Source organism: Homo sapiens, chromosome 2 (assembly GCF_000001405.40).
Source record: "Homo sapiens chromosome 2, GRCh38.p14 Primary Assembly".
Classification (NCBI taxonomy): domain Eukaryota; kingdom Metazoa; phylum Chordata; class Mammalia; order Primates; family Hominidae; genus Homo; species Homo sapiens.
Genome location: NC_000002.12, coordinates 58,828,691 through 58,854,182, shown reverse-complemented (window position 1 = coordinate 58,854,182; position 25,492 = coordinate 58,828,691). Strand labels below are relative to the sequence as shown.

General features: G+C 37.6%; 1 long non-coding RNA gene across 1 annotated transcript in view; it reads right to left on the bottom strand.

The window, feature by feature from the left end:
* LINC01122 (long intergenic non-protein coding RNA 1122) overlaps positions 1 to 25,492 on the bottom strand; it is a 543,014-nt gene that overhangs the window by 209,584 nt on the left and 307,938 nt on the right. The window contains exon 3 of the long non-coding RNA NR_033873.1: positions 3,577 to 3,753. This is a non-coding gene — a long non-coding RNA (long intergenic non-protein coding RNA 1122). The remainder of the gene's footprint in view (positions 1 to 3,576; positions 3,754 to 25,492) is intronic.

The window sequence follows — 25,492 nt, the reverse complement described above, 5'->3', positions numbered from 1 at the left end:
GATTGATAGCTCCTCTAGTTATTTTTCTCACACCTCTTCCCCTCAGCATATAACAGATGGGATTCCATCATCAGAAGCAGATGTTGTGGAGAGTATCAGGGGCCCAGAAGCCCTAATTCTAGCCCGAGTTCTTCCATTAACTACCTCCACTGCCTGCACAAAACACTTAACCTCTCTGGGCCTCGATTTCCATGTCTGTAAATTGAAGTTGAAAACATCTTCTTCATGGGGTACTAAGGTGATCAGAAAAGATATATACAGAAAGTGTTTCCTACTATAAAGTAGTTTGATACTTGAATTTTTGATATCTCTTTGCCAAATTGTGCTAACTTTTCATAATCAAATTAAATATGCATTATTTCTGTTTTACCCATGTCCCGTATTAGCTGTTCATAACAATAAACAAACAAACACACTTTTAGGAAGGTCAGTTACAATGTGAGAAATTCCTAATGGTGAATTTTCAGTTGCTAAACCAAAGGATAATTTTAACCACTCCCACCTCAGTCTCAAACCATGTCTCATTAGCAACCACATTCTCTCCGTTTATTTATGTAAGTTAGGAGAGGCCCTGCAGGGAGAAGCAGAGCTCTTGTTTGATTTTTGACTGGGCTTCATTCATTGAAGTAAGGTGTCAGGGCTGCCTGTGGATCTGGAAAGCATTTTGGAAGTAAGAAGCAGACAAATGTAAATCTTTTAAACCCCTATGATAAGCAAACTCTCCTCAGTTCAACATATAAATATAAACACTAAATCAAATCAGATGCTTATACATTTTTTAATCCTATCATAAAACATTTTGTTTTGACAGCTTGGTAATGTAAAGTAGAAACACCGACAGCCAAAAGAATCCGCTTCTTTGCTTGCCTACTACCTGAAAGTCTAGTCTTGCCTGTATATAAATAGGAAAAAAATGTATGTTTATGTAAAGGGAAACACTGATTTACTAGAACTGATTGCTTCATAGTCTAATTACTTTTCAACTGGCTGTTCCAAATTAAGATGTCATTGATGGCTTCTGGTGATATATTTCATTTTAAGCAAATTTATTCTATAATAGAGAACATCATAATGGGAAGCAGAGTTCCTACTCTTCCCTCCTCTTTGTAGCCTGATATCTTGACAAGTAAATTAAATTTAGCAGTTAAAATGCTTCCATTAGTAATTTTATTAAGTTAATTAAAGAATCTCTCTTTCTGAATTTTAACTACCTTCCTTTCAGAACCATGTTGATTTCTTTTTTCTTTTTTTAATTTCATGTATTTAGGGACTGTGATATATTCTAGGACCAATCAACAACTCTATCAGTATTGTATTCCTGTGGCCGAGATGCTACCAAGCAAATCAAGGAAAGAGCAGATATAGCCTAAAAGTCTTTGAAAGAGATGGTCTGTTTCCTCTCACAGAAGAACTAGGATTTTAATATCTTCTTTTAAAAAAAAGAGGAAAAAGAGGGTGGAGGAAAAAAAGGAAAAGGAAAATATACTTTTGAGAATATCTTTTTTTTTTGTAAATGGCAGAACTACTAACTAGTGTCCCATACCTACAGGATAAATTGAAAGTAGTTCAAGTAGGTTCAGTGATAGATGGAAAGAGAAAAAAAAATCCAACCCTTTTTCTTATTCAGTAATACAAGTATGCAAGTAGTACTGAGCAAGATACTGAAGTTGGCAAAGCTCATGTTAAATGAAATCTTGGGCCCTCTCCAGGGAGTGGCGTTTTAAAATAACCTGAATATTTGTAAGAGACTTAGGGTGAAAACGAGTTGTCTCGTGGCCCGTTGCCTGTTTCTTGTGGGAGGTGTTCCTAAACTCAGGAATTATGGAAAGTATTTTTAGAGCTGGAAGGGAGCAGAGAGGAAGTTTTATCTTATCCTTTCATTTTAAAGATGAGGAAACTGAGGGCCAGGGATTAACAACGCTGCCACCACCAATAATAATCCTAGCAGCTGTAACCATGGTGGCTAATATTGGTTGAGCTTAGTACTGTGAAGCGTTGCATACAGCATTTAATTAAAAAAAAAACCCACAAGGGAGATTCTTCTAATGTCTCAACTGTATAGATACAAGAAACAATGCCTGAAGAAGGTTAAATAACCTGTGCAAAATCTGTGACTCCCTAGTCCCATATCCCTAATTAGTGCACGTCATTACTTTAGATGAGTGACTTGGGGTCCTGCAACTAGTTTGTGATTCCTCCAAGGCTAAAGCTGAGGGCAGCTCCTTCTCAGCTCTGTACTTTATAAAACTAGGCCATATGAAGAGAACTGGAAAACCAGTGGTCAAGCAGAGGCTTGGGCATTGAGAAGACGCTATGATTTCTTTTAAAAAGAATCCCATTGCCAGAGTACCCAGTGAGATATTTGCTTTGTGGGTGAAACCTTATCAAAGGCTGCACCCATGTGTTCAGACCTGAAGTGACATTTCATTGAAAATTGGGGGATTCTATCCCTTACTCATTCATCGAAGAAATAAAGGAAAGCCAAAAATACAGTCCATGGCAATTACTATTAATACCTCCCATCATCTCTCATTTTCTAATACCCTGCTTTTCTGAATAGCTCATTCTGTGAGCTCACATGTTGACTGTTCAAACTCCATCATCTCTCCCCAAATCACTCCCACCATCTCCTAGAATTCTCATGCCACATCCTCACTCACTGGAGTCTCTCCACACTTACACCTCGGGTATTAGCCACCCAACCCCCATTCTGCCTTTTTATTCTGGAGGATTGAATGCCTTTCATTGCTATATTCCAAACTCACTGCTTTCCTCATGAGAGTAGGACACCATGGCTTTTGTTCCTTCTATTCTTTCCCAATTCTTCAGATTCTGCTTCATACAAGCCCCAGAATGAATCTGGCAACTCATAGGCCCTTCCAGGCAGGACAGAAAAGATGAAGCCAGAAATTATTTAATAGGCCAGAAGAGAGAAACAACTGAGACTGAGATATTAACTGCAGGTGTAAATATATATATACGCACACAATGTATGTGTATATGTGTATGTATAAACACACACACATGTACATATTCATTTTTCCCTCTTTTCTTACTGAAAAAAGCTAAGATGGCAAGTACCTACTCCAGATGATCTTTTTATATTCTGGGAAGCCCAATCCACTTTCTTTATATTTTTTCCTCAAACATCAAGATAAAAAGGATTTAAAGGCTTTATTGCCTTTTGCTCCTTATTTGATCCTTTGTAATCAGGAGGTAGGTTTTCAAGATGGTGCACCAGAATTTCTGAAGCATAATAAATTATCAAATGTTCCCACGGATGCTTTTTGTGGAGGATGTTTCCTTTACTAAGCAAGCCCACTCCTCCGAAATAATGTTTTTAGAAAGAATCTGGCATTCTGCAATATTTCTATAATTGATAGCTAGACAGACAGGCCCAGAATAGGCCGGATCATTCAGTTTTTTTGTTTTTTGTTTTTTTTTTTTTTTTTGCTGATTATATAAAAGATCCTCTGTCCTCTGACCTTTGCCTGAGAAAGAATGTTACCTTAAGGCCATATGAATATTTTCTATATATCTGGCCATAAAGAAAAGATGTTTTCATACAAAATTTACCTCTTACTTGCTTCATATCCTGCCATTCACATTGCAGCTACTCTTTGGTGAAGATCTTTTTCAATTATTTTGGGGAGCTTGTTGTTTTTTAATGTAGGGTTCAAGTCCTGTAGTGAAATCTGTTTCATATTTGCAATCAGTTTTCAGCTCCTGGAAGAATCCCAAATTGGTAAGTCCCTGTAAGTGAAAAAGAAAAAAAAAACAGAATGTAGTTATGCAACCTGAGTTTATAGACGATGAGAGAAGATAACTCAAAGAAGGATTGGCAAAAATAAACATTATGTCCTCTTCTTCCATCCCAGACACTCTGGCTCAGACTTCAACCTGGATAGTGATCAATTAAATGTATAGAACCACAAAAGAGCCATCTGGATCCTGAAACTGTGTGGCAAAATCTCTATTATTTGTCACGTAAAAGGAAGAATAAGTGATTTTGAAATAAAACACCAAAGAAAGATGTACTGAGTTTGATGCAGGAGTAGATGTAGCTGGCCACAGTTGTGAAAGATTCAATAAGCTTCTTCTTACTTGTCCTTCACCCTGGAGGCTTCTGAAGAGGCCTGAATATCTGGCTTAAAGTGAGTGATGCTACTTGAAATGAAAAGCAAGGCGATTGCAAATCACTCTTCTGCACAGGCTTGGAATAAGCTATGGCATGGCTGATGAACAGATTCAGGTATTTAAGTGAGTGTGATTTCCAAGCAACAATTTCTAAACCCCACACTGTTGTTGACCTCCATCACGTGATTGGACATGTTTATGAAAGTGCATGTGGTAGAATGAAATGCACTGAGAAGAATACTGAAGTCATTTTTCAATAGCACAGCAATATTACTGCAAAACGAAGCCACATTACTCCAACGAGCAGTGGAGTCCAGCCTCACACACTTCCTCTGCTTAACAGTCTGAGTCCACTCTAGAAAAGGACCTTTCCACTTCAGGAAAGAGGCTCTGGGTTTGGTTGGAAGAAAGCTAATGAGGTAGGTAATCCAATGTGTGTGCTCAGGTAAAGTCAAAACCTATGAAAAGACTTGAATAAATGGCACCAGCCTATACTTTTGTCTTTTCCATTTTTTCCTCTCTCTTTCTTTTTTTTTTTTTTTTTAGGCATAGATGTAAGGAAGATGAAAGGACCCAAAAACAATTTTTTTTCTCTCTGATCTAATTGGACAGAAAGCAAAACCACAGTACCCAGTCAGCAGTCGTTTAAACCAAACATATCTAATTGTACATTTAAAAATATGATCTACAATTTTCTGTTTAATTAAATCGCTAAAAGTCTTCTGTAAAGGTGAAAATCTTCTCTTTCACACTGATGGTATATAATCTGCTCAGACTTCCTGCTCAAGATATTTACTTCTGCAAAAATTAAAAGTATAATTTATTTATTTATTTTGAGGCAGAGTCTTGCTCTATTGCCCAGGCTGGAGTGCAGTGACACAATCTTGGCTCACTGCAACCTCTGCTTCTTGGGTTCAAGCGATTCTCCTGCCTCAGCCGCACCAGTAGCTGGGATTACAGACATGTGCCACTACCCCCAACTAGTTTTTGTATTTTTAGTAGAAATGGGATTTTGCCATGTTGGCCGGGCTGGTCTCGAACTCCCGACTTCAATTGATCCACACACCTCATCCTCCCAAAGTGCTGGGATTACAGGTATGAGCCACTGTGCTCAGCCAAAAGCAAAAATTTTTGATGTCTAGGAGGCACCTCTAAAAAGTTTATTGTAAACTAAATCAAATATTTTCACTGAACTTCTTCTTGAACATTTTTAGAGAGAAAATCAAAATCCTACTGATAATGAAAGACTGTTTTTTGTGATCACTAAAGCAACTGCTGTCTCTGATCTGATCCCACCTTCTCTCTAATGCCCATCAGCTGTATCACTGGGGAATTGGCTCCATTTGCTCCTAAGGTTATATTCTGTGATATATTTCATATATATATAGTTCTACTTAGTCTAGTCGAGTCTATTTCCATTTGAACCACTGGTAAAGAACCAGTGTTGATAATAGCCATTAGTTAGAGCAAAGAAATCTACAATCACCGCCGTTCCAACTGTTGGCAACTTAGAAGTAAAATTTTTCACATAGTGATTTATATACATATCTTCTGACGATAAGAAACTCCAAGGCAGACACCATCTTATTCATCTTTAAATCACTACAGCAACTGCCATAATATTTGGTATATTGGTCTTAAATTGTAAAAATAATTGAATGAATGAATAAATAAGAGAATTAATATTTAAATGTGGACACTGATTATTTGTGCTATAGTCATACCACACTGAGAACTGTCTGGAAGAGTTTTCAGAGAGCGACAGAGAAAAATTGGCTGACTATTCCTGGAGAACACGTTGACTGTTTGTTGGATGAAGACAGTTCACCAAGAAAGCAGATTTTGACCCTTCAAGAACTTGAATGTGATGATGAGTTTATGACAGTTCTAAAAGCCAACATACGGTTGGTGGCCAGATTGTGGTTCTGGACTCAGAGGCTTCCATTTGGAAGGCAGACAAGCATTTGAATTATGGGTCTAATGAAAGTGTCAATAGCGATTCTGTTACTGGAGGAGCCGTAAAACCCTGCTTAATGAACTAGGCAGGGACACAAAAACACAATGGTCTAAAATGTACTGTATGAGAAAATGATAATTAGTCAAGATTTCATGTATAAGATAAAATGCATAGGGATGATATTACCACTGAGCAATATTATAGCCCTTCGGGGGACTGTTTTGTTAACAGGGTTTGGCTCAGCTTTTTCTATCCTCCTCGTATGAATGGAGATGCACTATACAACCATGAACTGTGAGTTAGGGAAAGAATTCCTATCATAGATGCTGACAAACATCTAAAATTCAAGACAATAAGAGGGTTCTAGCCTCATTAAAGCTTCACTCTTCTTTGGGAGGATTTAGGCCATAGGGGGTGATAAGCCAAATAGTTTCTCACAGAAAAGGAATGGAGGTTAAAGAGAAGGTGATTCTCTAATCTTGCAGTCTACTTTACTAGACCACCAAACATCAAGTGGTGGGCAAGGGTCACTCACTTCCACACTGTACTCAGAAGCTATTGAGGTTGCTCTGAGCACAGAAGAGAGCAGTAACCTTGGAGTCAGGGGGCTGAGGTTCTAATCTTAGCTCTACACTAACTCTGAGTGTGAACTTTCTCATTTCTTAAAGGAGGACAGAGATGAAGGTGGATTAGAATGGCGCTTCAAAAAATTTAAAGAGTGTAAAAATCACCTGGGTATTTTGTGAAGATACAGATCTTGATTCAGTTGCTCTAGGGCGGGCCTGAGATTCTGCATTCCAAACAAGCTCCTATGTTATGCCAATGCTGCAGGCTCATAAACCACAATTTGAAGAACAAGTGACTAGCTGGTATCTCCCAATTTGAAAATTTGATGAAACTACCAATGTCAATAATAATCCGTTTGCTATCCATTACTACAAGTGGGAAGAGAAAAGCAATTACTGAGTTTTTGGTATCATCAAGGCAAAATTGTTTCAGCTTTGTTTTTGTCTTGTAAATCTAAGTAAGCTGCTTTATCCTAGTTAGAAACTATGAATGCTCTGACCTGTACAATAACAAATTTGTCAGGAATTTTTGGTGGTAGACTGTTAATACTGTTAGACTAGCTAAATATTGCTTTTGGAATAATGTGTTTTATGGCTAAATGGATTGCATGTACAAACTTAAAATGGGGTAAACTATGGTGACTATGAGTTAAAGTGGTGGATCTACATCTATTAATAATAAAGACAAAGGGGATCAAATGATGTGATGTAAGGCATAGTTACTTGTATACAACAATGTGTTAATGTAAGCATGATAGCTATAGGATGACATGAGTTGGGCATGGCTCATACCTTGCCCAAACAGTATCCTAGGTGTTCAGCCTGTTGAAAGTAACTTTGAATGCTATAATCCACTGGGTTCTCTCCATAGATATTTTCTTCCCTTGCCCAAGTTTAATTTTTAAGATGGCATATAGGGAACATGGGGAAAGGAAGAACACTGTATGAATCCATGGTATAAAAAATTATTTCACAGATCTGCAGACAGGGATTTTAGAAGTTAATAGAAATTTTCTTCATTGTGTCAAGTACAGTATTTGACACATAATAGGAGCTCAATTAATGTCTGTTAAGTAAAATGATCTGAAAGCAATAAACAATTGACTAAGCTTCAAGAATGAAATTAAATGAAAGTTCACAAAATCTTCAATAGTTTAAGGGGCCATAAGTTTGGGGGACAAAAACTGGGGACATGTGTCCTTGGTTTTAAAAAAGGAGAGGTCTTTCTCTCCCTCCACTCCTTAAAAAGAAAGCTTTCCTTAGAAAAGAATCAGTAAATTAATCTCAGAACAAGAATTTAATGAGCCCATATAATATGTTTTATGCTTCATATAACCTACCTCTTTTACCCCCTTCAACAACCCTATAAAGTAATTATTATTATTATCATCCCCAGGTGCCTCAGATGCCACAACTAGTAAATGGCAGTACTTTCATTCTAGTTTATCTGACTTAGAAGTCAGCCCTCTGCAGATAGCTTCTAATACAGTCAGGGCAGGGAGGAGAAGGGACAAAATATTTTTAAAAGAAGGGAAAGGGAATATATTTTTTAAAGGGCTAAATTATTGAGACTATGAATTGTAAGGAAATTAAGAGAGGAAATTCACTGTGGACTTCAGTCAAAGTTGGTTTCACAGAGAAAAGCTGGAAGTGGACCCAATGTTCATTCATTCATAACATACTTGTCTGGCCCACATGGGAAGAAATTTTGACACACAGTAAGGTGAGAAGATAAAATGTTCTGAAGAAGGAAAATGATAGTGTTTGATTTTGAGAATAAAAGGGTCAGAAGGACTCTCCAATGTGGACCAGGAAAAAGCAACATACGAAAACTGTTCTTCATTTTCAGTATGTATCAGACACCCAAAATACATACTGCCAATGGGGTGGGGAAAGGGGAGCATATGTTGCTAAAATAATCTAAAGGCAAGTCCTGAATAAGCAAAAACCTAGCGAAACAAAAGCCTATTTGTAAATCACTCCACTTAATTTTTCAGGTCATGATTGCCTCTCTCTGCAAAGTGGTTAATGACATTCTCAATTAAGAGTTTGCTATAAAAATGAATGAATGAAGTATTTCAAAACTGCTATGAGATATTAAAGACGAGTCACTTTTAAAAAGTGGTTTTGTTTCCTGTGTTTGGGGATAATGCATTTGAGAATGTAGTTTCCAGGCTCACCCATCACCCTATTGTGAAATCAAATTGAATGACTTTCTGCTCTTAGAATGATCACTCATTCAAATGCATTCAATAAATAAAGCCCAAACACAATGAAGCACTTTTCCTAGAGCATCCGGAAGAGCTAGGGCCTGGTCTCTCTCACTGTATAAGGCTCACTGTATGAGGCTGAGACGGAAGTAAATAAAGCATTCGCCCACACTGACTGCATAATACATAGTGACTTATTGTTTTCTAAGCTTTTACAGGTACATTATCTCATTTGATCCTCACAATGACCTCATAATAAACATGCTGTTGGTTTATTATCCCCATTTAACAGACATGGAATGGTGAACTCAGAGTAATCAGTGATTTTCCCAAAGTCACACAGCAATCCAAGAGGTACTTTAAATCTTCCCCACCTCTTTCCCCTCCAGAAGAGGAAACATTTCTTAAGTACCAAACAATATAATTAGTACCATTACCAAAACTGGAATAGTAGAAATATTTAATTCATTCAAATGTGCCTCTGGTGATTTTGTAAATACTGAGGTATTCATTTCCTACCTACTGCAAATCTGTGAATTCTACCCTGGACAAAAGGTCATCCAAACATGATCCTTGTTCAGAGTTATGGAAATGTATGCAGCCTAAAAGAAAATGGGCCAAATGCAGGGTAAAAATATCCATGTAACTCCCAGTGCCATTTACTCTTGCTGCCTCAAATCCTTTTCGAAATTAGGCAGGTTATAAATCATAAAAAAAGTATATAAAAATGTAAACTCTTGCCCTAAATTCAATTATCATATATCAGAGAAGGTCATGAGTGCAGTAGGTTGGAGAGCTAGTAAAATAAGACTAAAATAGGTATGGTAGGCAAGCCGGAGAGAGAGAGAGAGAAAGAGAGAGAAAGTTTAAAAAGGAAAAAAAAATATTTTCAATTTACATCTACAGAGCAGACTAAAAATTATCTGAAAAATAACAGAAAATACAGTTTTCCCCCAAATCAACATCCTTTCAGCCTCTAGTTCTAATCAGCCAGAAGTTGACATGGAGAATAATTAGGGGACAGGAGATCAACTTCTCTTAAGTCAATCTGAGCTTAGAACTGTACATAGAAACAGTTCTAAGTGTACCTAAGAATAGAAAAAAAAAAGTAAAAAAAAAAATACTAAAAGCCTTGTCTTCATGGAGGGAAGGGGTAAACAGAAGGGGTTAACCCAAAATGAAGGGGTAGCTTCATTTTCTAACAGTGCCTTGCAAATACCATTTCTAAACCAATTTGGGCCAGCCGTCTCTTGTCCTCATTCAAACACTCCTTTGCTTCTATCTTCATCGTTACTGTGGGATCATCTGTGCAGAGCAAACCTCTCTGGAAGTTGCAGGTCTACCACACGGGCTGGGCTCCCACATCCAGATGTTAAAAAGGCTTGTTGGTTCTCAGGACCCTTTTCGTCAAAATGTCTGATTCCTTTTTCTTCTAAATTTTATGGTATATTTATTCACCTATGGGTAATTGTGAATAGTTTCAGAGTTTCTGAAAACCAGAGTTTCTTTATATGAATCTCCTATTTTATGAGTCGTGGAATTGGGGGAGCCATAATTATATAAGTTGATATTTGAAAAATTGCATTCTTTTAAATGCTCCTAATAACTAATCCATATAATCAAATCATCCATAGCTCTAGTCTTTTTTCTTCTCCACTAAAAACAAGACACAAAAGTCATGATTCCAGGATTTATTCTTCAAAAGGTAAGGTGACTCTGAGCCAAGGTTAATTACCTGCTATTTTTAGGGATCAGGAAATATATTTCTAGCAATATTTCTCCATACATTCAGATTACATTTTAAGCAAAAATAACATATTTGTTCATGACCCATGCTATACAACTACTTTGCATAAAAAGCCCTGTTGAGGTCTTTAAGCCATTTTAAGTGTTATGACCAGTGGCTTCAGGCATAAGATTTTGTTTAGATAGCACAAGACCTTTCTTGTTGATTGAAACCTGGCTTGATGCCTCTATACATCTAAATAATTAGAAAAAAATACATTTAAATGAGAAGCAGATGCTGTTTCCAGATTTCTATTTTCACTGTACAGAATAAATAGAAGCTTTCATCTCTGCGTTTACTCTTTGGATGTGGTGCATACTGCATGAATCATTATTTAAAGCATAGGGTGTTCCTTTCACAAAGGTAAAGGAAATAGGGGACCTCTGGGGTACTCATTCCTCCGAAACATTTTTGCTCCAAGAAAACTACACAGGATTATTTATTCTCCTTTACTTTTTCATACGCTTCCATATCTGGTACTAAGCCAGTAGATCCAAATAGAATGGGGGAAGGCTGTGCTGAATGCAAAGATGGCAGGCCCTGCTGAAGATCAGTAGCTTGTAATTGGCAACAGACGACAAACATACTGCAAATGTTCAATGTTCATCTTATCAGATGCAAAACCAATTAAGAAGAAACTATACCCAGGCAAGGGAAAATAGAGGACAGGACATCACTGGGTACCTTTGAAAACACAGGGTAGTTTTCTCGAGCTTCTTTATCTGCCACTATGTCAACACTCTAACAGGTAGAGTACATTTTTAGTTTCCCTTGTAAGTTAGGTAGTTACTGGGCCAATTTTAAGTGCTTGAGATGTTTGGATGAAGGAGCTATGTAAACAAAGGGCAAAGGTCTGCATAACTTGGAAGCAAAGTATGTGTACCTGAAATCCAGAGATTCCAGAGCCTGATCTGAGCTGTTAGCTACAGTGAGACAAGCCAAAGTAGCTACCAAGTCCAATGGGAATTAATAAGCAATGATGCTATAATTAATTTACTGAAATTACTCGTTTAGTTTTTCTCTCTCGCCACGCTCCCCCAGAGCTGTACTATTTCTTTTCTAAGAACGTTTCTATTGCTCACCATTTTCCTGCAGCTGTAGCACAGTATCTGCTACAGATAAGTTATCAATCAATCAGCATTTGTGGACTGACATTATGAATGAATGGATATAATCTGAATGTTTATTCACTGCCCTGAAATAAATACCACATTTTATGACTTGTATAAATATAGAACGTAAAAATTTAAATAGTAGTTGCCACTTAAGAAGAACATGTCATGTCTCAGGCATTGTGCTAAGAATTTTACTTGCATTGTATTAATTTTGACACCCAAAATGATATTAGGAAGTAAGTATTATCCTCTCTGCTTTACAGATGAAGAACCAGAGGCTCAGTTCGGTGAGTGGACGTTGCTAAGGATCAGCCAGTAAGTGACAAAACTCCCTAGTCCGTCTTACTCTGTAACCCTGACATATCCTTTAACCATGGCATCATGCTGCCCACGGGGCGGGCTTCAAAGGTTTTAAAAGCTTGTTCTAATACAATGTGCTACAAACTTAGATTGAATGCAGAAAGAAAGAGTAAAAATTTCTACCAATTAATTAGCACTTGGAATATCAGAATTGGGTTTTCTGTGCACATGCAGTGAATAAACTGTTCTTAGAATCGAACCAATGATCCAAATGAACAACGCATTCTTTCAGCAGAGAAAGGTTTGAAGGGTTCAGTCATATGAATTGTGTTGCTGTGAAATAAACCAAGGTGAAAAAATTCACCCAGAACTTTTGATCTGAACAGACATTGAAGCAATTCTATCCTGTATGTGTACATATGGATCCCAAAGAAAATAATACAATGTTAGAAATAGGAATATACATATTACCACTGTGGCTGCTGCTACTGAGGCTACCATTATAAGCGGTGATAATTTGTCATCATTATAGTTTAGATATATTGAAAGCTGACTGTACACCAAGCTTTATAAGTCTTTTTCAGGTAGTTTCTCATTTAATCTTCACACAACTCCATGAGGTAAGCATAATTGAAACCCCCATTTTTCACAGGAAGAATTTGAAGCTAAAGAAGGTAAGTAACCAGTCTATGGCCAAACAGCCAGTGAGGATGGAATCAGACACAAAACCAGGTCTGTCTGGGCCCAAGCTGTGTTCTCACCACCACTATGTAGTGTTGCATTGATTTCTACACGAGTATGATTCCTACGGCCCTACCTGTGACCTTCTAATTTTAGTTTCTTCAAATGCTTTACATGTATTATACTTCAGTTCTATTGCCAACATGAGCTGGAGGAAAGTAAGCAAGCAATACAAGGGACTTTATTTTGCTGATGGAGAGATGAGCAAGTGTTAAAATTCAATCGTATGCCCCCCAATAAATCCATGAGGTTTTTTCCCTCAAATTAGAAATAGCAAGTTTTTGTTTTGTTGTTTTTCAGTATATTACAAGGATGAGGAACTTGCTATGAAAATATGTCAGTGTTTGTTAATGCCAGGCTCCTCCTATACCAGCAAAGAACATAGTCCACACTCACCATTCAATAACTGGTACTGAACATGTCTACAGAGAAATTATGGTATATTTGCTGGAGTTTTCCTTCTAAACAGACTGTAAATAAAATGGAATGTTTTTTCTGGCAGCATTTTGAACCCTCAGCTACTGGGTCTGTATTAAACCTGAAAATACAAGGGATTTCCATTCATGGGAAATGAGATGAAGGATAAAGCTAAGTGACCTTTTGAGAACACTTTAAAATTATATTCTGTTTATTGAGTTCATGTCTTGGTCTAAGGTTCAGAATGATATTCATTTTGTATGAATACTTTTTTTTCTCAAATCATTGTGAAGAAAATCATAAGTGTATGAAAATATTGTATAAAATGAAAATATTCCTTTGAATGTTTAGGGACCACACATGCTTTTAGGAACTAAGAGATACAATTCTCCCTTTGGATAGCTTTAAGAATTAGGGGAAGTCATTTAAATTATCCAAGCCTCAGTTTCCTTATCATAAAATGTAGGGCTGTATCTAGCTTGTCTCAAAATTACTATGCAATTACAAATCTATGATTCTTTGAACCTACCTTAGATTGAGGAGTTACATGTGCATTTACACAGCAAATGATCACATAACTGCAGAGAGCATCTCAGTAAATTCCTAAGAAATCATTTGACAATGTAACCAAATAATAAATAGCTACAATAGTCTAACACATATAAGAAGGTAACAAAATTTTTCAACTTGGTGCAGGAATGATGATTATCTCAGTCTTTCTAGGCTTTTCTCATTATCCTGAAACATAGTTATCAAGGAAATAGGAAGTAGAAATTCTTCGTATTTATTCTTGATGCTGATAACATCTATATTTGACATTCTAGAATAACAACATCTCCAGTAGCAACTAAGATATGCATGTTTCAGAACTGAGAAACTTTTAAAATCCCCTTTTAAGCAATGCAGCCACAGAAGACTCTTAATAATTGATTATAACTGATTTTAACCTTGTCCTAACCTGGGCAAAATGGCAAAGCCAATCATCTTTGTCCAGATGGGGTATGAGAAAACAGCCCCCGGTCCACATCTTTAAAAGCTCCAGACATGAGCAGAAGATAAAATATTTAGTCTGCCAAAGCCTTGACCTCCCAATTCCAGCCAGTTTTGAACTTGAATTGATTTCCGACAAGGCATCTGGGAGATGATTACAACAAAATGCACTAAAGCTGGGCAGCCTTTATTTTAACATCCCAGCAGCTTAACCTGTTAATAACAGCAATTGTTTTAGATACAATACCAATTTCTGTAACTGACGCAAGAAATGGATAACAGCAGCACAGTCTCCAAGGCAGTGCAATAAAAAAAAGAAAAAGAAAAAAAAGCACAGCTGGTCACAGAGGAGGTGCTGGCAGTGTTTTCCAAAGAAACTTCAGTTTTCAGGGACCCAACTCTACAGTCTCAAAAAAAAAAATATTTAGCAGGAGAAGGTTGCATGTTGAGAGAAACGCTGTTAGCAAAGGGATCTGGAATCACATCTGTGTTCTGCTGATGAAAGCTGAGCTATCTTGGGCAAGTCACTTCACATTTCCATGCCTAATTTGTTTTGTTTGAAACAGTGCTGCCCAATAAAAACACAATGTGAGATGCAAATGTGAATCCATATGTAATTTTAAATTTTCTAGTAGACACATTAAAAAAATTGAAAGCAAAATTAATTTTAATACCTTATTTAATCTAACATATCCAAAATGTTATCATTTTGACATGTAATTAATACAAAATTATTATTTAATATTTTATATTTATTTTTCATACCAAGACTTCAAAATCTGGTGTATATTTTACACTTATGGCACATTTCAATTCAGATTAGTCATATTCCAAGTGCTTAGTATCCACATGTGATTAGTGGCTACCCTATTGGATAATACATGTTTGAAGAAAGAACTAGAGATGATTGGGCTAATCATCTCTAGTGTCTTCTCAAACTATAACATGTCATGATGATTCTAAATGTTGCTTCTGCTGCTTTTCATTTGAAAAACCAGCTAAAGGTCAAAAGCATAGATATAGCCTGTTGATCAGTGAGACCCAGATGTTAAAGTGATAGCATCTGGGGCCTAAGTTTGAAGTTAGCAGGGAGTGAAGTCTGTGCTGATGCATGGACATGGTTTTAACCTTATCCCTGGTCAGCTGTGCTACACCAGTTTGTCATAAGTAATGTAGAGTAGGTGGACAGAGTGGGTGGCTGAATAAAATTTCATGACATAGCCCAGCATGTTCTATTACAGAAAATGATAAATATCCTCAGTGTTTTTTGAGCACTATTTATGTGCCATTCATACTGCATATAAAGATCATTTAATCATCTCAACTACCTTTTGAGGTGAGAATTATTAACCTTATTTAACAGATAGGGACTGAGCCTCAAAGAAACTAATTAGCCTGCCTGGTGTCAGAGTCCTAGAAAGTATTTTGTGTGGATTTGAACACAGCCTTTTTAGACCTTACGGCCAGTCTCTTGATCACCGTGATGTGCTGCTTTTACAAATAAGCAGTATTTGGTCTTCTATCTGGCTCCTACAAAGGTTTCCCAAATTGAAGATATAATAAAGCGGAGGCTATAGAAAGGCTAAAGGTGGTGCTTTCACTTTTTAATGACTGATAAAGTCAGAAACGGTACAGCAGATGATAACATTCTAATAAACATATACCCCTCTTCTCTCCTAGTCATTAATACCCACAAGAAAGAAGAAAAAAGGAAGTGGAAGGAAGGAATGAAAGAGACAAAGAGAGGAAGGAAGGAAGGAAGGAAGAAAGGAAGGAAGGAAGGAAGGAAGGAAGAAAGGAAGGAAGGAAGGAAGGAAGGAAGGAAATGCTGAATATGCTTATGCTCAGAGACCCATCCTCAAATACAGACTCCTGCCATCTCCTTGTCACCAGACTGTCACAGTTAAGATGAGAAAGTTTAAAAACCTACATTTTATTTATTTTCGATAATTTTGCATAACATATTATTTTTTTGATAGTTTTTGATAGTTATTTCTACATTGAGGAAATGGTTGAGCATCAGAAATAGGACTGGATAAAAAGATTTTTTTCCTGCTACAATATGTGTTATTAGTTTTCTTTTCTGGTGTCTGAAGGTATAGAGATAGTTCACATTGGTAATTTGAAGAGTAAATTGTTTCTTTTGAAAACCTTATTCTAGTGCATTGTTAACTTGATTTAAAACTAACCTTCTTACAGAGGACTTTGGAAAAGGTCTAGTGGCCAATCTGAAAGCAGTTCTCTGCAGGTGGGCCATGACGTGCTCATTACCTGTGAACCAATCCAAAATCACAAAGTCTAATCACTCTTGTTCATTGTGTCTTCACTTCATGGGCCACTAATATCTTGGCTGCAAGGAGACTTTTCTCCAACTTGATCAAGCATATGCTAACAGTGTATTTACCCAGGATGGTAACAGCTTATACTTATTGCATGATTTCTCTGTGCCAAGCACCAAACCTGTTTGGGTGATTTATGTGAATTATTCAATCCTCATTAGATAGGTGCTCTTATCATCCTCTTTTTACAGATGAAGAAACTGAGGCACATAATGCTTATAAATAGTAATAATCAATACTTTTTGTTCCCATTTTTTTTCTTCTCCTGGTCTTCCAGTACATTTCTGTCTCCTTAGCAACGTCCATCCAGCCATAACTACAACCTCATCTAGGCTTTAGTGTCTCCATTATCCTCGATCCTAATCACAAAGTTATCTGTTGGCAGTAGAGAATGGGTTTATGTATTCCATCAGTTATTTATTACTGCATAACAAACAACCCTGGACATTTGTGAATTATATTTAAGACAATTTGATGTGCATTTTATCACAATTTTAATTTTTTAAAAAATTTAAAGTCATAAGTCAATAAAAAGTTTACTTACTTATTATTTTGTGGGTCAACTATTTGGCTTGAGCTTAGCTATAGAATTCTGCTAGTTTACCAGGGGTCACTCATGCAGCTATAGTTATCTGGTGGCTCAACAAGGACTGGGTAATCTAAGGTGGCCTCATTCACATGTCTAGCACTTGGTGCTATCTGTCAGCTGGGCCACCTGTTTCCAGCAGACCGTACTTCTTTACATGGCAATGTTGCTCCAAGTCCCAATCTGCAAATATTTTTAAAGCCTCTGCTTGCATCACATTTACTGGTCTTCTGGGCCAACACAAGTCTCATGTTTAAGCCCAGGATCAAAGTTAGAGGAAACTACACAAGGGTATGGATCGATAACAATCTAACATAAAAAGCACCTAACATATTCTTTCTTCTCTTTCAATATGGTCTAAACAACTCAAGCCTAAGAAGACTGAATAAGAGAAGGAAATCCAAATTTCCCAATAAGCCAAGAATATATCAAATTCTAAATTTGGCCTTCAGTTTAAGCCTCAGATGTAAATGAATACCAAGTCCCATATTTCCACTGAAATATATTTCTTTTCATAGCATGTTTTGAAAAGATGGCCAGCAGCTTTGTATTTAAATGAAAAACAATATTTCATTTGAGGGCACAACAATATTAAATATTTTTTACAAGACTCTACTGGATGATGACAATGGCTAATACTGTATTTTTGCCATGGGAACTTTTATTTTACTGAACCACTAAAATTACCATCAGATGTGCTCATCTTCTGTTGAAGTAATGAACAATGGTATGTCTGAGAGAGAAACTCAAAGTGCATCATTTATCTTATCCTATTTTCAATTAGGCTGAATAAAGTATAAAGTTGGTTCCAAAGTATATCACAGAAACAGGGTGAGTAAATTTATTATACCACTAGAGTGCTAATCTTAGCAGATGGTAGAAAAAATATTTTTAGCATGAAATATGCTAAAGCAATAAATCTGAACAAGGTGGATCTTATCAACTAATATCTCCCCAGTGTGAGGTAAAACTCTTGCATGACAACTCAGCATTCTTATGAAGTCTGGGTGGATGTGGTTAGATATGGCCCTGAGTGAGAGAGAAAAAAAAAAACAGCAAAAATGAGGATCAATTAGGAAAACAACCACACATGCTAGGACACTGCACTGATTTTTTTTTTTTTTAAGAGTGAAATGACTATGTTGTGTTTTGAATTTCCTTGGATTTTATTTTTTTAAATCATGCCTACCCCAGAGTTCTGTCAGTCTTCCATTTGGGAGTTTTCCAAATTGGAAAATTTACAAAAAGTCTCTGTTAGGTCAGCTTTAGAGTAGATGTGAGCACACACAGTCACACATTGGTACTAATCACCATTAGCCAAGGCATGCATCTAATAAGAGAGCCCAAGGAAGGGGCTCTGGAAAACTGGGCTCAGGCCCAAGGCACCTGAATGAGAGCTTCCAGACAAGGGATGCATTCGGTTCATAGTTCATCAGAATCCAGCTGCTAAGTCCAAACATATAGAATAGGTCGCTCATTCAGAATAGACAGCATGTGACACTCAAAAGTTCTATTTTCAAAGGAAGATGTGCAAAATGGAAGAGTGAGAGGTAATAGATAATAATGAAAAAGCTACGATGTGGTTGAAAAATCTGTCTGTGAGGTAGTTGAGCTAGATAATTTTTCAAGGTGACCATAAACTATGTTTTATAGCCATCTTGTACCTGATTAATGTTCATGTCTCAAAGAAGTGATGTGTTAGAGTAGATCAGATTGGTGGTGGGTCTAGGGTCAGAAAACAAGAAATTCATGCTCAAATCTGCCAGTGAAAAACTGGGCTCAGGCTCAAGGCACCTGAATGAATCTTCCTTGCAGCTGAGCTTATTATATAATTTTTCTGGGCTTTAAATTAATTATCTACAAAATAAGGATTTGGTCTATAGTGTCACTATGTAAAGAATGAGTGTGGAGTGGAAGGAATGAATCAGAATCATTAGAACAAGTTGCACTTGAGGTGAGCAACAACAAACAAGAGTTAGTAACGCAGGGTTCCAGGAATTCCTCTTAATCTTGGCAATATATCAAATAATTTGAATTGTGCTTCATTCATTCACTTGAATTGAAAACAAACTAAAACCAGTAAGATGCCCAAATGTTTAATAAATTTCATCCGAGTAAATTATGAGAAACCACCTTAAGTTTATCATACTTCCCAAAGTTTGGTAATAGAGGTAGATGTTGGAAATTAATTAGAGGTTGGGGAGTTCAGGAGAGAAACTTCTCTGCTTGGTGAGGTGGGGATGAGGGTGAAGGAGCACAGAAGGAAGTGGGTAGGGAGCTATATAGGAAGCCACTCCTCACTTTTTCCCCTAGTGCTGTCCCCTTCCAGACTCTCTCACCTGAATCTCTGCTGCCTCAGGGTTAGGACATTCAAACACAGAAACAAAGCTTTTGTAGAAGTGTGGAGTTAGAGCCTGGAATTTGAGTGTCGCTGTCCACGGTCCTGATCGTCCTGTTGCTGTTTCTCCTGACCAAGGGACACCACAGATTACTTTTGTCCAGTTTAGCCAAAATGAAACAAAAAAATTGTAAACTAGTCATGGAACAGACTGGATCACAAGCTGTAGATAAAGACTGAGAGGAAGAGACATAGGCACCAAGAAATTACAAGAGAGAAACAAACAAAATTTGTTGATATGATTTTCAAATAACCTCAGGTGCCACAAATAAAACCACAAATTACCATGGCCAAAACAGAGAACTACTGAAAGAGAGTATAACATTTGTGACCAAAGCTATAGAATCATAACAAGTCCTGACATAAACAAACATATTTAAGTGAGGTACGCAGAATGCCAACCTGGTAAAATAAAACTCATTAATTGAACTATGCCGAACAGCTCACAGTTTTCTTTGGCTCAGTATTTTCTACTTGAGGACATCTAGAAATTTTACAGTTTCATAGAACAAATGTAATCGTAACTTATTTTGCACTTCATGTAGCTAATTCCATTATGTTTGGCAGTTCTACCATGTTTTCCAAACTACCCCTTGAAGAAACAACAGGTGGAACTGCCCTACATCCCCTCTGCTGTGTTTGTATGTCTCAATCAGGGAAATGGACAGCAAAAGAGAAGGCTAGTAATGCTACAATATATATTCTCTCATTCTTCCATAGCAATAGAATCTTCATTCAGGACTCCACAGAATTAAAATTATATTTCACAGCATCCTAGCAGTGTAGGGTGGCCACCCTTCTCTCTCACTCTCTCTCAAAGAAAAAAAAATTTCCTCTGTTCTCTTCTTTATCACCCTTATTGTATCTTGTAGCCTGCATCATCAGTGACACAGGATAGTATGAGGCTGAGGATTCTAGTCTAGGAGTAGTAAAGTGGTGAGTATGAAAGATCATGAGGGAGCAGAGCAGCCATAACAACCCTGGACTTCATTCACCCTGAATTTCATGTCAAAAGAAGATAAGCATGTATTTTTCTTTCTAAGCCACTGCCATTTTTTTTCTGTTACTAGCAGCTGAACCTAATCCTAATTAATACACTATTCATCAATATTTGATGAATGCATAGCAAATACTGGCTCATGTATACCAAAAAAAGAAAGGAATCTAAGGAAAAATAACAAACCGACAAGCAAAAGACTTCCATGAGGTCCTGTTGTTTTTCCATGAAGCAGGAATCCCCAAATATCTCCAAGCATTGGAACTAACATTGCATTTTGCCAAAATAAATAAATTAAATAGTCTTTTAAAAATAATTTATTTACAACATGGAATTTCCTAAGAAACAATTTTCTTCCTCCAAACACTCTCTCCACTCTAACTAGCTCAGGAGAAATGCTATGAGCTTCACAATAAACCTCTTAAGTGGATGACAATGAGAAGCTTGAAGCCACTGTCCAATAAAAATGAGTTAGCCACCCTAGATTTTTAGGTCTCCAAAAAGAGATTGTGGGCTCTCCTTTCCTGGTGATAAAGGTGGGCACAATAAGCTGATTATTTTTGCACAAAACTTGGTATTTTCATGCAGTATTAAGAGTGGCCAGAATCACATTAACTCTGCCCCTTATGGAAATTGCTGTGACCCTTATTTCCTGCAACTGGACCAACTGTCAATTGTCTTTGAATGTGAAAGATGGTGGTGATCTCTTTGTATGCAGGCAGAATGTGTTTCAAAATGGACAACCAGTTGTGAACACTTTGCAGGAAGAGCCAGAATCCCCCTCCAGAAGCTCCTCCCTTCCCTCTTCTTATTGCATAGAAAATGCCAGGAAAGTTTAAAATTAATGGTGACCAATTGAAAAAGAAAAGGAAATCAAAGAAACATTCCCTGAGAAGCAGCCTTATTTGTTTCACTTTACATAAAAGCACCGACAGGTCCTGTCAGCTCTGGTTTTTGTAGAGAGGATGGGAAGGAGAAAAGCCCATGCACAGGACAGAAAACATGTTTCCAGGCACAAGCAATTTTTTTATTATTTTAAATCTGTTATGAACATAATACAAACCAGGACCATACACTTTTCTCAAGTTCTGTTAATGTTAATAATTTTAAAATCTGCAATTTTTAGGGTTAAAATCAAATATAAAAGAAATACATGGCAGTATTTTATGTACCAATAACAAAAGTACATAATTCTACCCTATAAGGCTATAAATGCTTCAATTCCAATCTACCTGGATACACAAATATTACTAGTAGCCATAAAGACTGCAGTTGCTGGAACAGGCATCCATGAGAAGATCAACATGCTTAGTGACTCCACTTCAGAACACTAGCTTAATGAGACAAAAGTATTTAGCCTCAGTCCCCACAGGGACCCCTTAGTTAATCCATAGCTATTGCTCTTCACCAACTGCTTAATTTCAGCCAAAGTCTGATATTGGCTACAAGAGGGACTGAGAAAGAATGTGTGGGCAATTCAGGGCAAAGGCAGTCCCATTGTCAGAAAGACAAGACACAACATATACCCTGTTAATTGGAGTTACTAATACCATCTTCTCTTGTATAAGAAACAAAGACAATTGTTATTAGCCATATGACTTTGCTATCTGAGCAGTTTGGTCCGAGTCAACTCCAAAACAAGAGAGGTGGCAGAACAAGATGGCAGAAAACAAAGCTCCACCAAAGATTCCTCCCACAATGACACCAATTTAACAGCTATTTACATGAAAAAACACCTTCATAAGAACTGACAATCAGGTGAGTACTCACAGTACTTGGTTTTAACTTCATGCCACTGAAAGAAGCACTGAACTGATTAGGAAACACAGCCTCATATTGCCAATGCCACCCCTCCCCCATCCTCTGGCAGTGGCTGCATATCACAGAGAAATCTCTGTGCTAGGGAGAGGGAGAGCACAGCAATTGTGAGAACTTGCACTCAACTTAGTGCTGCCGTGTAACAGCAGAAAGCAAAACCAGGCTAAAAGCTGACACCCATCCATACAGGGAGTATTTAAACAAGCTCTAGTCAAAGGGGAATTGCTCATCCCAGCAGCTGGAACTTGAGTTCCAGCAAGCCTTGCCACCATGGGCTAAAGTGCTCTGGATCTCTAAATAAACTTGAAAGGCAGTCTAGGCCACAAGGACTGTAACTCCTAGGTTAGTACTAGTGTTGAACAGGGCTCAGAGCCAGTGGACTTGCAGGATATGTGTCCTATTGAGACACCAGCTGGGGTGGCTAAGGCAGTGCTTCTGCCATCTTTTCCCCAACCCCAGGTTGCACAGCTTGTGGCTCCAAAAGAGTTCCCTCCTTGTATCTCAGGAGAGGAGAAGGAAGAGTAAAAACGACTTTCTTTTGCATCTTGGATACCAGCTCAGCCACAGTATGATAGGGCATCAGTCAGAGTAGTGAGGCCCTAGCTCCTAGATGACATTTCTAGACACACTCTGCGGCAGAGGAAATGTGCTACCTTGAGGATAAAGACCCAGTCCTGGCAGAACACATCACCTGCTGAATAAAGAGCCTTTGGGCCCTGGATAACCAGCAGTAATACCTAGGTAGTATGTCATGGGCCATGGGTGAGACTCTGAGACTTGCTAGCTTCAGGTGAGACTCAGCACATTCCAACCTGCGGTAAATATAGAAAGAGACTCCTTCTCCTCAAGAAAATAACAGGGCAAAGTAAATAAGACTTTGTCTTGCACCTGAGGTATTAGCTTGGCCACACAGGGGTAGAACACCAAGTGGGTTACTGGGTTCCCCAATTCCAGGCCTTTGCTCTTGGATGGCCTTTCTGTATCTACCCTGGGTCAGAGGAGAGCCTACTGCCCAAAAGGATGAGTCTCAGGTCAGGCAGCATTCACCACAAGCTGACTAAAGAGCCTTTGGAACTTAAGGAAACAACAGCAATAGCCTGACAGTACTCCCCATGGACTTGTTGGGATCACAGCCATGCAATGAGGGGTGGGAGGGAAGAATGGAAAGAACAGAGTCTTATGGTTTGAATGCAAGCTCAGCCACAGTACAATAGAATACCAGGTAGACTTCTAAGGATTTTTACTACAGTCTCTGGATCCCAGATGGCACCTCTGGACCTGCCTGGAGCCTGGAGGAACTCATTGCCCTGAAGGGAAGGACACAACACTGTCTCACTTTGCCACCTGCTGACCAGCTCAGAGCCTTGAGTGAACATAGGTGGTAGCCAAATAGTGGTTACAGTGGGCCTTGAGTAAGACCCTGTGTCATGTTGGCTTTGGGTCTAACCCAGCACAGTCCCAGTGGTGGTGGCCACAGGGGTGTTTGTGTCACACCTTCCCCAGCCCCAGCTGCAGGCAGCTCAGAAAAGAGAGAGAGAGAGTGGGGGGTGGGGGGCTGTTTGTTTGGGAGAAAGTAAGGTGAGAGAACAGGGGTCTCTGCCTGGTCATCGAGATAATTCTTCGAGATCTTAACCAAGACTATCAAAGCAGTACCTCTATGAGCAGGCAAAAACTATGGAGTTACTGGGCTTAGGGTGCCCTCTAATGCAGATACAGCTTAGATCACAACACCTGCATCCTTTTGAATACTTGGAAAGTCTTCCCAAGAAGGATGGGTACAAACAAGCCCAAAATGCAAAGACTACAAGGAATAACTCTTCAACTTCCAGACACAGTCAAACATCCACAAGCATCAAGATCATCCAGGAAAACATGATCTCATCAAATGAACTAAACAAGGCACCAGGGACCACCCCTGGAGAAAAAGAGATATGTGACCTTTCAGACAGGGAATTCAAAAGAGCTGTGTTGAAGAAATTCAAAGAAATTTAAGATAACACAGAAAGAATTCAGAATTCTATCAGACAAATTTAACAAAGACATTAAAATAAAATGAATCAAGCAGAAAATTTGGAGTTGAAAAATGCAATTGACATACTAGAGAGTATATCACAGTCTTTTAATAGAATAATTGATCAAACAGGAGAATTAGTGGCTTGAAGCCATTTGAAAATACACAGTCAGAAGAAGCAAAAGAAAAAAGAATAAAAAACAATGAAGCATACCTACAGGATCTAGAAAATAGCCTCAAGAAGACAAATCTAAGAATTATTGGCCTAAAAGAGGAAAGAGATAGGGGTAGAAAAGGATAATAATGAGTAACTTCCCAAACCTAGAGAAAGATATCAATATCCAGGTGCAAGAAAGTTATAGAACAGCAAGAAAATTTAACCCAAGCAGATTTTGCCTACCTCAAGGCATTTAATAACGAAACTCCCAAAGGACACTGTATACTGTGGTGTGTAAACTATCCTAAATAGAGAGACTAAATGATGAACCAATCAAAAATAAAAACTACAACTTTTCAAGACATAGTACAATCAGATATGAATAGAAACAAAAAAAGTTAAAAAGTGGGAAAATGAAGTTAAGGTGTAGAGTTTGTATTACTTTACTTTTTCCTTATTTGTTTATGCAAATATTTTTGTTATTAGCTTAAAATAATGGGTGATAAGATATTATTTTCAAGCCTTATAGTAAATACCCTCAAATTGAAAAGCATACAATGAATATATACACAAGAAAGTAAGAAATTAAATTGTACCACCAGAGAAAATCACCTTCACTAAAAGGAAAATGAGGAGAGAAAGAAGAGAAGACCACAGAACAACCAGAAGCAAATAACAAAATGGCAGAAATAAGTTCCTACTTATTAATAATAATGTTGAATATAAATGGAAAAACTCTCTAATCAAAAGACATAGAGTGGCTGTATGAATAAAAAAAAAAAGAAAGATCCAATGATCTGTTGCCTACAAGACACACAATTCATATAAAGATGCACACAGACCAAAAATAAAAGAATGGAAAGATATTCCATGTTAATAAAAATGAAAAAAGAGCAGGAGGAGATATGCTTATATCAGACAAAGTAAATTTCAAGACAAAAACCATAAGAAGAAACAAAGAAGGCCA